We start from the raw sequence: 18,145 nt of genomic DNA, 5'->3' as shown, positions 1-18,145 counted from the left end.
AGTTACATCATTATATATACCAACAAACAATGCGTCTGGATAGTTAAAATTCCTTTTTTTTTTTTTGAGACGGAGTCTCACTCTGTCGCCCAGACTGGAGTGCAGTGGCACGATCTCGGCTCACTGCAAGCTCTGCCTCTCGGGTTCACGCCATTCTCCTGCCTCAGCCTCCTGAGTAGCTGGGACTACAGGCGCCCGCCACCACGCCCGGCTAATTTTTTGTATTTTAGTAGAGACGGGGTTTCACCGTGTTAGCCAGGATGGTCTCGATCTCCTGACATCGTGATCCACCCGCCTCGGCCTCCTAAAGTGCTGGAATTACAGGCGTGAGCCACCACGCCCGGCCTAAAATTATTTTTCAAAACTACTAACAGACCAAGGGTTCAGCTAGCTTAACAGTCCACGAGTCTGTCTAGATATACTTTGAGCTTCACATCCTTTTTTTAGTAATAAGCTCCATGCGGGAGGAGATCTCGGAGAGATTTCTTTTTGTATCCATGGCAACACTTACCTACTTAGAAGCCTCAAATTATCGTTCCTAGGTTACGAAAGTAAAAACTCTGGATTAAAACATTCTGCCCACTCCATGTTTTAAATAGAGAAGAGATAAGAAAAATCTGTGTTGGAAACCAATGGTACACACACTGCTTCAGGTACTTGAGGATTGCTCGATTTAGGCATTTTCCTAGTGCGTATTTGGAATATATTTTTCTGCTTTCTGAGGCTCTCTTCAGTTTTGCTCCCTGGCTTTTGAGAAACAGACTAATTTGTTTTCTTTACTGGCTGAACATGGAGCAAGTCCAGGGTAGGAGTGGTATGATTACGGGTTTGTCCTTAATTCTTAGCCTCTCCTTTAAGCAGGTAAATGTGCTATATTCTGGTATGGCCCTTATTGACCTAAATGCATTTGAATTTATTTTTGCTGCTAAGACTTAAATTGGAGTGAACAGTATTATCCAAGTACAAAAATGTGTCTACTTGTCAAATTTTTTTTTTCATTTAAATAGTAATTAGAAAAAAAATCAACTGAGCATTTGGAAAATCTCACAGGGAAGAAGTAAACACATGTATAATCCTTAGTGTTATTAGCTGCAGTTACAAAAAAAAAAAGTCCCTTTAAGATGTCCTGCTTTGAAAACATCAGAGGCATGTACATATATGCTCCTGCCACTTGCAGTCCACATGTAAAAATCTGCCTATTTGCAGAAATGATTCAATTGACTGTTAACCTATTTGTTTGCAACATTGAACAGCCCATTTGTAAATGTGTGCCCATCTCCGGATGAACTGTCTTTTGCACATAGGCCAAGCCATTGGAAGGTATTTAAAAACAAAAGTTTCTGTGGGGCTAGGCTCTCACTACAATCCCCTTCTTTCACAGTGTTGATTTTAAACTCAAATTCAGCATTAAGTGAGGTATGATTTAGTTGGTCCAGTTTTATAATGCTTTTCAGAGTGAAGCAGCAAAAAGCATTGTTGTTTCCTTATTGGTACAAAATTAGTCTTTGAATTGTGGATAACTTGTAATTTCAGTTAAAAGAGAAAAATAAAAGCAAAACTAGCCTATTGTACGATAATAACTCAAATCAGTTATTTGCCACACATAAGAACAAAAACTTGACTGATGTAACAAATGTTTTTTGCTTTTTATCTATCTTTTTTAACATCATAAATACAGCTACTGAAATATTTTCTGACTGCAAGTAATCGATACAGCACAACTGATCTTTTCAAGGTTCTCTCCAGGAACTGATATAGAGTTGAAATGTGAACTACAGCAAATGAATTGAGATTACTTTATTTACATGAATAATAGTCTTTAAAAAAAAAAAAAAGAGCCACAAAAACTCCAGCAAATAAATTTTTAGAACAATTGCTCAAAGTAGCTTAGGAAAAAAAGAAATTAATTGGTTCAACTAGCCAAACATGAAAATTTTGACTTATGACCTAAAATTTAATAACCTCACCTCCAAAGGCCTGATAATTATTGAAAAAATGCTGCTCTGGCCGGGCGCGGTGGCTCACGCCTGTAATCCCAGCACTTTGGGAGGCCGAGGTGGGCGGATCACGAGGTCAGGAGATTGAAACCATCCTGGCTAACACGGTGAAACCCCGTCTCTACTAAAAATACAAAAAATTAGCCGGGCATAGTGGCGGGCGCCTGTAGTCCCAGCTACTCCTGAGGCAGGAGAATGGCGTGAACCTGGGAGGCGGAGTTTGCAGTGAGCCCAGATCGCGCCACTGCACTCTAGCCTGGGTGACACAGCGAGATTCCATCTCAAAAAAAAAAAAAGAAAGAAAGAAAGAAAAAATTCTGCTCTGTGTATCTTTTCTTAATGTACAGTAAGCTTAATTTGATAAAAAAATATTGAAATGTATCAAACAAATTTTTAAAAAAGAATAAGAGAAGGCAATTTGGTCAGAGGATATTAAGACAAGGCTACTTGTATATATGTTTTATTTTATATTTTTCTCAGAAAAATAAAACTAGCTTTAAATAGTCACTGGTTTTATTTCAGGACTATGACTGGAGCTTCTCTTCACTGCAATATAGAACAGCATCAAAGGCAAATAAGACCAATAGAATCACATTGCTAATACTGCCCTCATTTCGTTGTGTGCACACCATCAAACAGGCAGATGAAGAGGATCCTTGTCTTGGGTAGATTCAGTACTTTTTTAAAAAGTCGAACAGTGTTCAATGTTTAGTAATAATATTTTTGTACCCTGGGCTCTACCTAATTATTCTTCCTAAACCAACTTTTATAGGCAAAGGTTGAACTATATACAATACACCTTCAGGGGTTTTCCTTTCAAAATATAATGTATCTACACTATGGGTGAAGCAGTATAGCATAGTAGATGAACTTAGGAGTCAGTGAAGCCTTGGTTCAAGTTTTGTCAAGTTATTGTAATTTTAGTATTTTCATATTTAAAACAAATAACAAAACTTCCTAGAGTGACAATTAAACAAGATAATATATGAAAAACATAGTTCCTTAAATAAAATGGAGTGTTAACAAATAGAGGCTATTGCTATTACAGTATGCTATCTGAATATTCCTTAGGCACCATATACAGTTGGCCCCCTGTATATCCGCAGGTTCTGCATCTGCAGATTCAACCAACCGTGGGTTGAAAATATGTGCAAAAAACCATTTTAAATAGCAATACACCGATAAAAAAATACAAATAAAAAAACACAACAAATATTTACATGGCATTTACATTGTATTAGGTATTATAAGTAATCTAGAGATGACCAAGTATACCAGAGGATACGCATAGGTTGTACGCAAATATGACACCATTTCATACAAGGGACTTGAACAGCATGGATTTTGGTATCTGCAGCGATCTTGGAACCAATTCCCCCTTTCACACTCCCCCACCCCACCCCATGGATACTGAGGGAGGGCTGTCCTGTAGTACATATTTAAATAAGACCCCTAAAGGGAAATAACCACATTTGTAACGCTATGGAATTTCCATTCATCAACTAAATAGCAAACAACATGCATGGCACTGTAACAGATGTGCCAATTGCCATCTAATTGGCAATAACAAAATGTATATATGCAAAATATGGCCTTAGATACCGTTAGCTAAAAATGTAAAATTGTGCCATATGGGCGGTTAGGGAAGAAGCACAGTGTAAAGTAGCAAATGGTTAGTACATATAAAATATGCTGAAGGAATAAAGAGTGGAAGTGAGAATGCGGTCAAGGGTCCTCAGGAAAGTTAACATTTTAGGATACTCAATTATAAGTGATAGAAACCTAACACAAAGTAGCTTAGGGGGAAAAATAAATTAGTTGGTACAAGTAACTAAACCGTGGTAAGGGCCAGGGCACATTTGTGCCTGTGATAATACTAAAACCAGGCGCTCTAACGCCAACATTTTTTTTTTCATTTTCCTCCTACTGTTGCTTTTCTCTATATGTCAACTTCATTTTCTTAGACTGACTTTTTCCACAAGGCTAGGAAATTACTAAGCCAAGGGAAAAGTCAAGCTGGGAACTAGGTCAGACAAACCTGCCTCCCATTTTATTTCTAAATAAAATACCTACAAAGCTACATACCTCCCTCACAATTTGCCCACAAGGAAATTCCTTGTGGGCCTCAAGATCTTTACCCTAAAACAGTTCTGTTGAAGTTCATCCTGATCGCTTATCTTCACAGATGTGAGCAGAAGCTCATCCCTCTGCTCACCTGAGAGAAATGCATATCTGATGGCTTCCTCTGCCCTAATATTCATGTAAAAATGTGGATTCACTGAGCCAGACTAAATTGTGTACTCAGTAAAAAGCTGATCAAGGACTCAAAAAGAATGTAACCCTTTGTCTCTCACCTACCAGTGTCCTAGAAGCCCCTTGCTTTGAGTTGTCCCATCTTTCCAGACCGAACCAATGTACATCTTATATGTATTGATTGATGCCTCATGCCTCCCTAAAATGTATAAAATCAATCTGTACCCTGACTACCTTGGGCACATGTTGTCAGGACCTGCTGTGGCTGTGTCATGGGCGTGTCCTTAACCTTGGCAAAATAAACTTTCTAAATTGATTAAGATCTGTCAGGTACTTTTGGGTTCATATCACGGATAGCAGATTTAGGGAGCAGCCACTACCCACAGAACCGAGATAAGGAAGCCCATTCCGGGCTGACATCCAGACCTCATAGAAACAGCAAGGACTTAGCTCAGTGGATGGCAGAGAAGTTTGCGGAGGTGCCATACTAATGAAACTTGCTGGAAATCCACCTAATGAAGTGCTGGGGGAAGCTGTTCATGGAGAAATAACTTGTCGCCAGCACTCCACTGTCAAGTCACCAAAGAGGTCCCATGAAAAGCTGTTCATAGGGAGGTGCCATATGCTAATAATCACTGGGTGCAACTGGGTGTGGCTGAGTACTGCAGGAGCCTGACAAGAAGAGCACACTGCAACCAGGGAGAGAGAAACTCTTTTCTTCTCCAGCCAGCATCCCCCCAACACCCTCTACTGACAAAGCTTAACATCATGGCAACTGGCAAAGGAGAAAGTCTAGCTTCATTATTATGGTGCAGGCAATGAAGTGTGGATTTGGAGCTAAGAAGCAATAAACTAGTAATTGACACAGATTATTTATGGAATTTTCTTAAATACTCATCTTGAAAAAATACCATCCATCAGCCTTATGCTGCTCTACTTAAACACAACTTAGCCAGAGAAGGAGGAGGGGATATAGTGTCTCAAAAGGCTCTGCAAATTCTGCAGGTGAAAGGAGACTACTTAAAAATTAAAAGAGGCCAGGTGCAGTGGCTCATGCCTGTAATCTCAGCACTTTGGGAGGCCATGGTGGGCAGCTCACCTGAGGCCGGGAGTTTGAGACCAGCCTGACCGACATGCAGAAACCCCGTTTCTAGTAAAAATACAAAATTAGCCAGGCGTGGTGGCACATACCTGTAATCCCAGCTGCTCTGGAGGCTGAGTCAGGAGAATCGCTTGAACCCAGGAGGTGGAGGCTGCAGTGAGCTGAGATGGCGCCATTGCATTCCAGCCTGGGCAACAAGAGCAAAACTCTGTCTCAAAAAAAAAAAAAAAATTAAAAGAAAGGGGGCCGGGCGCAGTGGCTCACGCTTGTAATCCCAGCACTTTGGGAGGCTGAGGTGGGCAGATCACCTGAGGTTGGGAGTTCGAGACCAGCCTGACAGACATGGAGAAACCCCGTCTCTACTAAAAATACAAAATTAGCTAGGCGTGGTGGTACATGCCTGTAATCCCAGCTACTCAGGAGGCTGAGGCAGGAGAATCGCTTGAACCGGAGAGGCGGAGGTTTCAGTGAGCAAAGATCTCGACATTGCACTCAGGCCTGGGCAACAAGAGTGAAACTCCGTCTCAAAAAAAAGAAGAAAAAGAAGAAAAAGAAGAAAAGAAAAAAAAGAAAGGGTTACATATCTTGCCACTGGAAGAGCTTTTTGGTTCTGGATAGATGACCGAAGATGGAAATTTGGTAGTCTCTCTCTTTTATCTGGGGAGTGGTCTGGAAATATATTAATAGAACTTCTGCTCTTACAAATACAATTGGAATTATACTTTTATAATTTTTATTTCACAAAAATGTGTTACATACTCTAAGAAAAAGAGTCTTCAGTGTTTATTTTATATGGAAATCCATTCATTAAGACAAGAGGCATTATAGGTGGTGGTTAAGCATGTTGAAAAACAAGTGCATAAGTTCAAACTGAGATGAACTTAAAAATTTAGCTAGAAAGATGATTTGGGTTGAGTTAACCAAGGAGCAAAACTTACCCATTTTTTCTTCTCTTTTGGTTCAGTCTTTACCCTTTATAAAAGAAGAAGGGAATGTTGCTCCATGTTACAGCTAGCAAAGGGTAGTATTGTATCAGCCACAGTCCAGTCAGGAAGGAAAACAAACAAACAAACAAAAAACAGTGCTAGGTATTTGAACAGGGGAGATTACAGAGACAGAATTGATTACTCAAGTGCTGTAAGACTGGAAGAACAAAAATGGAGCCCTGGGGTAACCCAGAGAGAACAGCAGAAACAACAACCTTCAGGTCTCGGGAAATAAAAGGGAAGATATTGAGATGACCACTCATCTCCTTGGAGGAAGGGCCTCCTGAACTGGGGATAAGACATCTGAGAAGTGCATGCTCCCTGGCACCTCTGAGAGGGTAATGAGGCTTCTTCTGGGGGTGAGAGAAAAAGCTAGGCCAACATAAAAACAGCAAAAAGTCAGAAAGAAGTCACTTCTCCTCCCCTTCAACTTTCCAATCTCCCTCTTGTGCCTCTGATTTGCAGAATTTAACAGATTGCCAACTGGCGAAGGAGCTCGGGAAATGTAATTTGCAAAGTCCCAGTCCTGGCATCAGTGAGCAGCTACAAAAGGATCTATTTGGGATCAAGAGACAATAGGTAAATTGTTGTCTCAGTAAGCTCAGGAGCATAACTTACCATTTTTTTGTTCTTTCTTGTTTCTTTTTCTTTCTGTGTTACAGTAAGGGAAGAAGTCACCACACATCCCAGCTGGAGGAGGGAACATGACTGGCTCACTTCAGCACCCTCACCATTGTTCCAGATATCCAAGGCCCTCCTTGGACCTCAACAAGACTTAAGCCGCTGCAGAGACGGTGTAAATGTGGAGTGGCTGGTTGGGGACAGAGTGAAACTCCTGGAATCAGATGGTGATCTGCTGATAAGCTGGGTCTGTGCCAGCCAGCAGAGTCCATGCGTGCAAGAGCCTGGAGTCTCCCCCTGTGAAGGCTTGGGGCTGGTTGGGCAGTAAGCCTCACAGTAATCCTTAGTCCTGTTAGATGGGAGTTCTAAATTTATTTTCAAAGAATTAATATGTCAGTATGTTCAATTCTTTGCCTTCTACTTTTAAACTTAACTTCCTCATAAAGCAACCTTTTTCCATTACCTACCCCACCCTAACTCATTCTGATCACCTGCTCCACCCTAACTCATTCTGACCACCTGCTCCACTCTAACTCATTAGGATTACCTGCTACCTGCTCTGCCCTGACTCCCGCCAAAGCTCTCATCCCATCATTCTCTTTCAATTAGCCAATCGGAATTAGTTTAGCCTGTGTGGTCTAACCCTAGCTAACAGGAGAATGACACAGCGGCTGCAGCCAAGTTCGTCAGGGATAAGAACCCCTTCCCCTCCCTTGTCCACCTGGGCGCTCACCATTGTTCCATCTGTAAGGGCGCACCGTTCTATATAGAAGTAACTTGCCTTGCTGAGAATTAAAAAGAAAATTTTATATTCGAGTGCTATTTCTTTTGCGGCACCAAAACTTTATGTGTAATAGTCCACCTACTCTGCACTTCTTGCGCACCAGGCTCCTACTTTCTGTGACATTTTTTCCTAGGTTTATGTCCCAATCACCAGTTCCTATCATCTCACTTCATGTGCTTTCTGCTTTTTTTTTTTTTGTACATAGTCACACACAAATCAAATGACTATTCTTAATTTCTTTCACAATAGTTTTTTTTTTTTTTTTTTTGAGACTGACTCTTGCTCTGTCGCCCAGGCTGGAGTGCAGTGGTGTGATCTCGGCTCACTGCAACCTCCACCTCCTGGGTTCAAGCAATTTTATTGCCTCAGCCTCCCAAGTAGCTGGGATTACAGGCGTGCGCCACCACTCCTGGCTAATTTTTGTGGTTTTAGTAGAGACGAGGTTTCACCATGTTGCCCAGGCTAGTCTTGAACTCCTGGGCTCAAGCAATCCACCCACCTCGGCCTCCCAAAGTGCTTGGATTACAAGTGTGCACCACCATGCCAGGCCCCACAATAGATCTTGATGGCTCATTAAAACTCGTGCTTAGAGCAATAGCCTTATAGGCTAGTGGTCAGTCTTTAAAACAGGTAAGGGAAATACCTTCATTCCATTCTCAGGAGTGGCAGTAGACATGCCTTTCCTGGAATGTGTTTATTGCAAAGAAAGAGAAAGAAAACATTAAAACAAGAAGTTCATGTCCTGCTACACTTTCTCATTCTACTGGTGCTTTATTTTTTCTTGGTACTTTATTGTCTACTTCTTCATCTTAGATTATCTATGGATAAGATTTTTATAAAAATGGATAATTAGGAGACTGAATGTGCTATTTATAGTTACAAGTATTTATCCTAGAAGATAATACCAGACAAGCTTATTATATTACCAAATAATGAGTTTACACATGTTGACTGTTCTTGCTAATTGGGGAAAATGAAACAAACACTTACTGAATTGTTTGGAAACATGGTAGATTTTGGCACAAGAAAATGTGGCTGACTTTATACAACTGAGCCTTGTGGTAGACCCAACAGCAAATACAGGAGTCTCCCTTTATCTGAGGTTTTGCTTTCTGCAGTTTCAGTTCCCCATGGTACAGTACAATAAGATATTTTCAAAGAAAGAAAGGGAAAGACCACATTCACATAACTTTTATTACAGTATTTTATTATAATTATTCTATTTTATTTGCCGAGTTTATAAATTAAACTTCATCATAAGTATGCATTAATATGTATAGAAAAAAACAGAACGTATAGGTTTCGGTACTGTCTACAGTTTCAGTCATTCCCCTGGGGGTCTTGAAATGTATCTCCCGCCAGTAAGGGGAGATTACTATAATAAAATGCATTTTTTTTAATTTTTAAGTTTATTTGAAATACTTATACTTCTTATTTATTTATGTATTTATATTTTTGGAGACAGAACCTCACTCTATCCCCCAAGCTGGAGTGCAGTGGCGTCATATCAGCTCACTGCAACCTCCACCTCCCAGGTTCAAGTAATTCCCATGACTCAGCCTCCCCCATGTAGATGGGATTACAGGCGCCTGCCACCACACCTGGCTAATTTTTGTATTTTTAGTAGAGAAGAGGTTTCGCTATGTCGACCAGGCTGGTCTTGAACTCCTGACCTCAGGTAATCCGCCCGCCTTGGCCTCCCAAAGTGCTAGGATTACACGTGTGAGCCCCACCATGCCTGGCCCATTTTTATTTATTTTTTATGGCAGCTCTATTGAGGTATAATTCATATCTCACAAAATTCACCTTTTCAAAGTGCACAATTTCATGGTTTTAGCATATTCATAGAGATGCACAACTTTTACCCTGATCTAATTTCAAAATATTTTCACCTGTCCTCAAAAATCTTACCTATTAACAGCCACTCCCCATTCTCCCACTCCTCAACTCCCTCTACTTTCTGTCTCTATGGATTTGCCTTTTCTGGACATTTCATATAAAGGGAATCATACATGTGGCCTTTTGTGCCAGGCTTGTTTCATTTAGCATATTTTCAAGGTTCACCATTTTGTTGTTGTGTTGTACTTTGATTTTAATTGTATTATATGGATATACCATATTTGTTTATTCATCCATCAGTTGATGGACATTTGGGTTATCTCTACTTTTCAGCTATTATGAATAATGTTGCTAAGAACATTAGTATACAAGTTTTTATCTGGACACGTTTTTAATTATCTTGAATGTATACCTTGAAGTATAATTGTTCGATCATATGATAATTCTATATTTCAGATTTTAGGAAACTGGCAAACTGGTTTTCCAAAGTGGCTGTACAATCCCTCTAGCAATGTATGAGAGTTTTACAATCCCTCTAGCAATGTATGAGAGTTCCAATTTCTCCACATCCTTACCAAAACTTGCTATTGTCTGTCTTTTTTATTATAGCCATCCTAGTATGTGTGAAGTGGTATCTCATCACGGTTTTGATCTGTATTTCCATGATAAGTAATGAAAAATCTTTTCATGTGCTTATTGGCTATTTTTATATCTTTTTTGGAGAAATGGCTATTCAAATCTACTGCTTATTTTTAATAGGGCTGTCTTTTTATTCAGTTGTAACAGTTCTTTTATATTCTCAATAAAATCCCTTACTAGATATATGATTTATAAATATCTTCTCCCAAGAATTGTCTTTTTTTTTTTTTGGAGAGTCTTGCTCTGTCACCCAGGCTGGAGTTCAGTGGCACAATCTCAGTTCACTGGAACCTCTGCCTCCCAGGTTCAAGTGATTCTACTGCCTCAGTCTCCCAAGTAACTGGGATTACAGGCGCACACCACCACGCTCGGCTAATTTTTTGTATTTTAGTAGAGACAGGGTTTCACCATGTTGTCCAGCTGGTCTTGAACTCCTGAGCTCGGGCAATCTGCCCACCTCAGCCTCCCAAACTGCTGGGATTACAGGTGTGAGCCACCACGCCTGGTTACTGTAGCTTTGTAATAATTTTGAGATTGAGAAGCATGAATACTATAATTTTGTTCTTCTTTCTCAAGATTGTTTTGACTATTCTGGGTCTCCTTCATTTCCATATAAATTTGAGGATTAGCTTCTCAATTTCTGCCAAGGTAGCTGGGATTTTGGTAGGGATTATGTTGAATTTGTAGATTGATTTTTGTAGTATTACCATCTTAACAATATTAAGTCTTCTGGCCAGGCGCAGTGGCTCACGCCTGTAATTCCAGCACTTTGGTAGGCCGAGGTGGCCAGATCACGAGGTCAGGAGTTCTAGACCAACCTGACCAACATAGTGAAACCCCGCCTCTATTAACAATACAAAAATTACCCGGGCATGGTGGTGTGTGCCTGTAATCCCAGCTGCTCAGGAGGCTAAGGCAGGAGAATTGCTTGAACCCAGGAGGTGGAAGTTTCAGTGAGCTGAGATCCTGCCACTGTCCCCCAGCCTGGGTGACAGAGCTAAACTCCATCTCAAAAAAAAAAAAAATTAAGTCTTCTGATCCATGAACATTAATATCTTTCTATGTGTTTATATCTCTTTTAATTTCTTTCAACAATGCTTTATACTTTTCAGCATACAATTCTCAAACTTCTTTTGTGAATTTTTTTCTAAGATTTTATTTTTTTGGATGCTATTGTAAATAGAATTTTTTTAATGTCATTTTTGGATTGTTTATTGCTAGTGTGTAGAAATACAATTGGTTTTGGATTGAACATGTATCTTGCAACCTTACTAAACTCATGTATTGATCCTTAGAGTGTTTTGTGGATTCTATTTTATTTTTTCCAGTGTGAAAATGCATCTTTGGTATGTATGTCAAATATGTACTTCTTTCACTTTTAGAAAACTCTTTCTTGGCCGGGCATGGTGCCTCCTGCCTGTAATCCCAGCACTTTGGGAGGCCGAGGCGGGCGGATCGTGAGGGCAGGAGTTCCAGACCAGCCTGAACAACATGGTGAAACACCATCTCTTGGCCGGACACGGTGGCTCACGCCTGTAATCCTAGCACTTTGGGAGGCCAAGGCGGGTGGATCACGAGGTAAGGAGATCGAGACCATCCTGGCTAACATGGTGAAACCCTGTCTCTACTAAAAATACAAAAAATTAGCCGGGCGTGGTGGCCAGCGCCTGTAGTCTCAGCTACTTGGAGAATGTCGTGAACCTGGGAGGTGGAGCTTGCCGTCAGCAGAGATCGTGCCACTGCACTCCAGCCTGGGCGACAGAGTGAGACTCCATCTCAAAAAAAATAAAAAAAAAAAGAAACCCCATCTCTACTAAAAACACAAAAAATTAGCCAGGCATGGTGGAGCACACCTGTAATCCCAGCTACTTGGGAGGCTGAGGAAGGAGAATTACTTGAACCCAGGAGGCAGAGGTTGCAGTGAGCCAAGATCACGCCACTGCACTCCAGCCTGGGTGACAGAGTGAGACTTCATTTCAAAAAATAAATAAATAAATAAATAAAAACTCTTTCTCTCCAGCTGAGTTTGGTGGCTCACTCCTGTAACCCCAGTACTTTGGGAGGTCAAGGCAGGTGGATCACTTGAGGTCAGGAGTTCAACACAAGCCTGGTCAACATGGTGAAACTCTGTGTCTACTAAAAACACAAAAGTTAGCCAGGTGTGGCGGCGTGTGGCTGCAGTCTCAGCTTCTCAGGAGGCTGAGGCATGAGAATCACTTGAACCCGGATGGCAGAGGTGGCAGTGAGCCAAGATCACGCCACTGCACTCCAGCCTGGGTGACAGAGTGAGACTTCACCTCAAAAAAAAAAAAAAAAAAAAAAAAAAGCAGGGGAAACTAGACTTATTTTGTGGCCCAAACTGAAAAGTCTGTAAACATAAAAATACTCATTGTATTTGTTTTCAAATTTCTGCTTCTGGCCAAGATGTAGTAGTAGAGATCTTATTTACCTTTCCTCCTGAAATGACAAAGAAAAAAGTCAAGAAAATATATGAAAGAATAATTTTCAAGACACTGGATATTAGACAACAAAGGACAGCAATTACAGAGGTGGGAAACAGATGAAGTAAGCCTATAATTACCTCAGCTTATTGCCTTGAGAGAGTTTTCAGTCATGGCACAGGCAGGGGAAATTCAAGTGAAGTGTAGGGACTCCCTGAATTGAGTAGATGGATCTAAGAGTCTGAGAGAGCAAGGCAACTCCAATTCACTGGACACAGTACAACAGAGAAGAGGGCTGCATAGAGAAATAACTGTGATGATTTGTGGAGAAGTCTTGTAACGAATGCATGCATGGGAGGAAACCACCCAAGGCCAGGGAAACAACTTCCTGAGAAAATTAGAGAAAACAATGCCCAGTATAGAGACAGTGCAAGGAGAGCGCTGGTTCCTCCTAGCCACACTGGAAAATCTCATAATTCATGAGACATTGGTTAGAATACTCAGAAAGGTCTTGCCTCAGTAGTGGATATAAATTAACCCTAAGCTAAATGCTGCTCTGGTCCCACCTAACAAATCCTAAAAGCAAGACCCCCAACCAAATTGAATACTCAACCAAAGAAGAAATACAAATGACATACAAGCACATGAAAGGAGGCTCCACATCATTAGTCATTAAGGAAATACAAAGTAAAACTGCAATGAAATGCCACTGCATACTCATTAGAGTAGTTAATATTTAAAAAGTCTGTTACGGCTGTAATCCCAGCACTTTGGGAGGCCGAGGCGGGTGGATCACGAGGTCAGGAGATCGAGACCATCCTGGCTAACATGGTGAAACCCCGTGTCTACTAAAAGTACAAAAAAAAAAAAAATTATCCGGGCATGGTGGCGGGTGCCTATATTCCCAGGTACTCAGGAGGCTGAGGCAGGAGAATGGTGTGAACCCAGGAGGCAGAGGTTGCAGTGAGCCGAGATCACGCCACTGCACTCCAGCCTGGGCGACAGAGTAAGACTTCATCTCAAAAAAAAAAAAAAAAAGGCTGACCATACCAAGTGTTGGAGAGGATGTGAAGGGACTAGAACTCTCATGTACTGTTGGTGTAACCAATGAATATAAAATGGTACAACCCACTTGGAACAGTTTGGTAGTTTTTTTTTTTGTTAGAAAGTTAAACGTTCACTTACCATGTGACATATGACCCAGTCATTACACTCCTAGGTAATTTGCCTGAGAAAAGTGAAGAGTGTATTGTAGCTTTATTTTTAATAGCGCAAACCTGGAAACAACCCAAATATACGACAGCTGAATGGATAAACAATGTGTGGTATGCTCATACAGTGGAATGCTACTCCACCAAAGAAAGAAAAAGAAAAAAACTACTGATACATGAAATGAACAAATCAGTCCCAGAATAATTGTGCTGAGTGAAATAAGTCAGACAAAACAGAGCACATATAGTATAATTCAATTTATATAAAAACTCTAGAAAATACAAACTAATCAGCTGGGCACGGTGGCTCACGCCTGTAATCCCAGCATTTTGGGAGGCCGAGGCGGGTGGATCACAAGGTCAGGAGATCGAATCCATCCTGGCTAACACGGTGAAACCCTGTCTCTACTAAAAAATACAAAAAATTAGCTGGGCGTGGTAGCAGGTGCCTGTAGTCCCAGCAACTCAGGAGGCTGAGGCAGGAGAATGATGTGAACTTGGGAGGTGGAGCTGCAGTGAGCCAAGATTGTGCCACTGCACTCCAGCCTGGGTGACAGAGTGAGACTCCGTCTCAAAAAAAAAAAATAAGATAAATAAATAAAAGAAAATACAAACTAATCTACAGTAACAAAGAACAGATCGGTAGTTATCTGGAGACTTGGTGGGGGTGTGTGTGTGTGTGTGTGTTTGTGTGTGTGTGTGCATGTGTGTGTGTGATATACAGGGATTACAAAAAAGGAAAAGGAAACTTTGAGGGGTGATGGATATGTTCATTAGTTTGATTATGGTGATAGTTTCATGGGCATATCATTATATCAAGATATCAAAATTGTACACTTTAAATATATGCAGTTTATTGGGTCAATTGTATCTCAAAGCTGTTAAAAATTATTTTACTCAGGTTTTACAGTGCTTTTAAGAGTAATATGTTCCGGGCCAGGAGCAGTGGCTCACACCTGTAATCCCACCAATTTGGCAGGCAGAGGTGGGTGGATTACTTGAGGTCAGGAGTTTGAGACCAGCCTGGCCAATGTGGCAAAACCCTGTCTCTACTAAAAATACAAAAATTAAGGCCAGGTGCAGTAGCTCACGCCTGTAACCCCAGCACTTTGGGAAGCTGAGGCGGGTGGATCACAAGGTCAGGAGCTCGAGACCAGCCTGGCCAACATAGTGAAACCCCGTCCCTACTAAAAATACAAAAATTAGCCGGGCATGGTGGCATGTGCCTATAGTTCCAGCTACTCAGGAGGCTGAGGCAGGAGAATTGCTTGAACTCGGGAGGCAGAGGTTGTGGTAAGCTGAGATCGTGCCACTGCACTCCAGCCTGGGCAACAGAGCAAGACTCCATCTCAAAAAAAAAAAAAAAAATTAGCCAGGTGTGGTGGTGCAAACCTAAAATCCCAGCTACTTGGGAGGCTAAGACAGGAGAATCGCTTGAACCTGGGAGGTGGAGGTTGCAGTGAGCTGAGATCACGCCATTGCACTCCAGCCCGGGCAACAGAGCAAGACTCCATCTCAAAAAAAAAAAAAAAATTAGCCGGGCGTGGTGATGCACACCTATAATCCCAGCTACTTTGGAGGCTGAGACAGGAGAATCGCTTGAACCTGGGAGGTGGAGGTTGCAGTGAGCCGAGATTGCACCACTGCACTCCAGCCTGGGCAACAGAGTGAGACTCTGTCTACAAAAAATAAAAAAATAAATGAATAAATAAATAAAAACAAAAGTACATATTCCACATATATGTTGTTTTGGATTTTTATGCTACATATTTGCATATTTTGTTAACAATGCCTTATTGTATGTTTTTACTTTAATGTAAAAATATTGATACTACATTTTACAACCATCTCAAAAATACAATTTTATCTTTAGATGTCTTTGCAGATGGTATTATAAATAAAACAATGTGCAATATTAAGATTGGAGTCTTCAGAAATTTTTCCTGGTGATCTAGAACAGGAATTATAAACTTGGGATGCAGGTCACAGTCTATTTGCTTATATTAATTTAAAAATTTATAATTTCCTTTTCTTGGGTTGGTGCCTCCCCTATCCCAATTTTCAGATGCTCCCAAATGCTGGCTGACCTTCAGAATCACCTGGGGAGAAACTGAAAAAAACACAGATTCCTGTGTACCATTCCTGGTCATTCTGAGACAGGAAAATTGAAGTGTGATTTTATTTATTTATTTACTATTTTTTTTGAGACAGAGTCTTACTCTGTTGCCCAGGCTGGAGTGCAGTGGTGTGATCTCAGCTCACCGCAACCTCTGCCTCCCAGGTTCAAGTGATTCTCTTGCCTCGGCCTCCCAAGTAGCTGGGATTACAGGCACGTGCCACCACACCTGGCTAGGTTTTGTAATTTTAGTAGAGGTGGCGTTTCACCATGTTGGCCAGGCTGGTCTCGGATCCCCGACCTCAGGCGATCCACCCACCTTGGCCTCCCAAACTGCTGGGATTACAGGTGTGAACTACCACATCCAGCCTGAAGTAGGATATTAAAAACCCTGTTTTTAAACTTTTTTGTTATAGAAAATTCCAAACACATACAAAGTAAAAGGAACAGTATAATGAACTCACGTGTGCTCATCACCTAAGTTGTACAATCATTAATTTGTGACTGATATTAGACTAATTCATCACCATCTTCTACCTTCAATTTCAATAATCTGTGGTTTTATACAGTTTTCTGGATGATTGTGATATGACACACACACAGAAACAGACACATTGTATTTAAAGGCTGAATAGTACTGTATTCTAATTGTATTGACATATTAGAATGTGTTTGACCAATTCTCTATTTAGATTATCTTCAATTTGTTTGGTTAGGAAGATGGTATTAAGTATTACTTAACATATAATCTTGGTCCACTGTTCTATATCAAATATTTAGACCTCAACCTACAGGTTGAGGTTCCATAACCTGTGGTTATTTATGTATTTTCATTTGAAATACTTTCTTCTTTGAGCATTTCATTGGGAATACATGAAATCATTTAATGAATATTCATTGAATTTTTAATCTGAATATGCAAAAGCAAATATACTATTAGACACTTGAAAAAGAAAAAAAGAATCTTAAATTCTACAAGCCTACAAAGAGTTTACAATCCTATTTGGGGAGCTAAAGTAAATACCTTGCAATGGGACTTTGCAAGTTTGCTTCTGTCAGGGTGGAATCAAGAGGTAGTGGTGGAAGGAGAGGTAAATGGTTGGAAGTACGTGGAGGTTTTATTTGCAGAGATAATGGACTATGACTAGCTATAGCTACTTGTGTAAGAGCCTCAGTCTACTGTGAGGTTTATTAGTTCATCCAGCTTAGGCATAGGAATATACGGAAGTCGAAGCTCTAATAAGAAACTAAATCATAGTTTCACTTCTCTAGTCATACAGGTTATAGGGTCTCAGGACTGCAGTCCTAGCTCTGGGGTTTGAAACTTATTCAGTTCATCTGTCTAAAGTGCAGATGGGGGCTCTTTTTTCTCTACTAGGATTGAGTAAGGATCTCATGGCATATACCAACTTTGGTACTACAGAGCAGTCAAGCTACGAAGTGCTGGTACAGTTAAGTAGCATGGCCAACAAGAGATGCTCCCTCATGCGGAGGCTGGATGGTGAGCTAGAAAAGACAGATATCTGAGCATTTGCAGCCAAGCCCCTTGCAAGGTCCTTCTCTAGGTTAGCTCACTTGGCTAATAGATGGCACCAGGGTCCTGGCCCCTTTACCCTTCCTTGTACTTCCTTCCTTCTTTCCTTTTTTTTTTTCTTTTGTAATTTTTTGAATTGATCTTGATGACCATTAAGCCAGAGTGAAATTTTAAAAATTACTTTAAAAACTAAGAAAAGTGGTCTTCTTTTCTTTCAAGCCTTGATCTTCAAACACTCTCCTGCAGTAAGAAGTATTTGCTTCCCATTTTGGGAGATGAAGTCTCCCCTCTGTAATTCTTTTGATCCTTTTGCTCTAGCAAGGAAAAGGTAAACTAACTCATGCAATGTTATTTTCTGCTATGCAGGAATGTATAGTATTGAAGACTTGGAAGGCTTGTGAAGGACTTTGCTAAGGTTGATATTCCAAGTTACCAGAGAAGGTGGGCAATGCGTATAGAATCATAAGCTTACTAGGTAAAATCTTTTACTACTACCAGCCAGTTCCTCCTTGTGATAGCTTGCAAATGAAACACAAAAGCTATAGCATACATTCTCTCCTATCATTTCATTCTGTTGTAAATTTACAGATAAGATTATTTTTCTGAATGATCATTCCTCCAA

The 18,145-nt window shown here is 40.6% G+C and overlaps 1 long non-coding RNA gene across 1 annotated transcript; it reads left to right on the top strand.

Annotated features, from left to right (window-relative positions):
• The first annotated feature begins 590 nt into the window (after nucleotides 1-590).
• LOC105377465 (uncharacterized) lies at nucleotides 591-7,400 on the top strand. Its single transcript, XR_939276.1, has 3 exons — nucleotides 591-653; nucleotides 2,520-2,662; nucleotides 7,001-7,400. It is a non-coding gene; the product is annotated as an uncharacterized LOC105377465 (long non-coding RNA).
• The last annotated feature ends 10,745 nt before the right edge of the window (nucleotides 7,401-18,145 follow it).

The sequence above is a fragment of the Homo sapiens genome, chromosome 4, assembly GCF_000001405.40.
Source record: "Homo sapiens chromosome 4, GRCh38.p14 Primary Assembly".
Lineage (NCBI taxonomy): Eukaryota > Metazoa > Chordata > Mammalia > Primates > Hominidae > Homo > Homo sapiens.
This window is presented reverse-complemented; position numbering and strand designations above follow the sequence as displayed.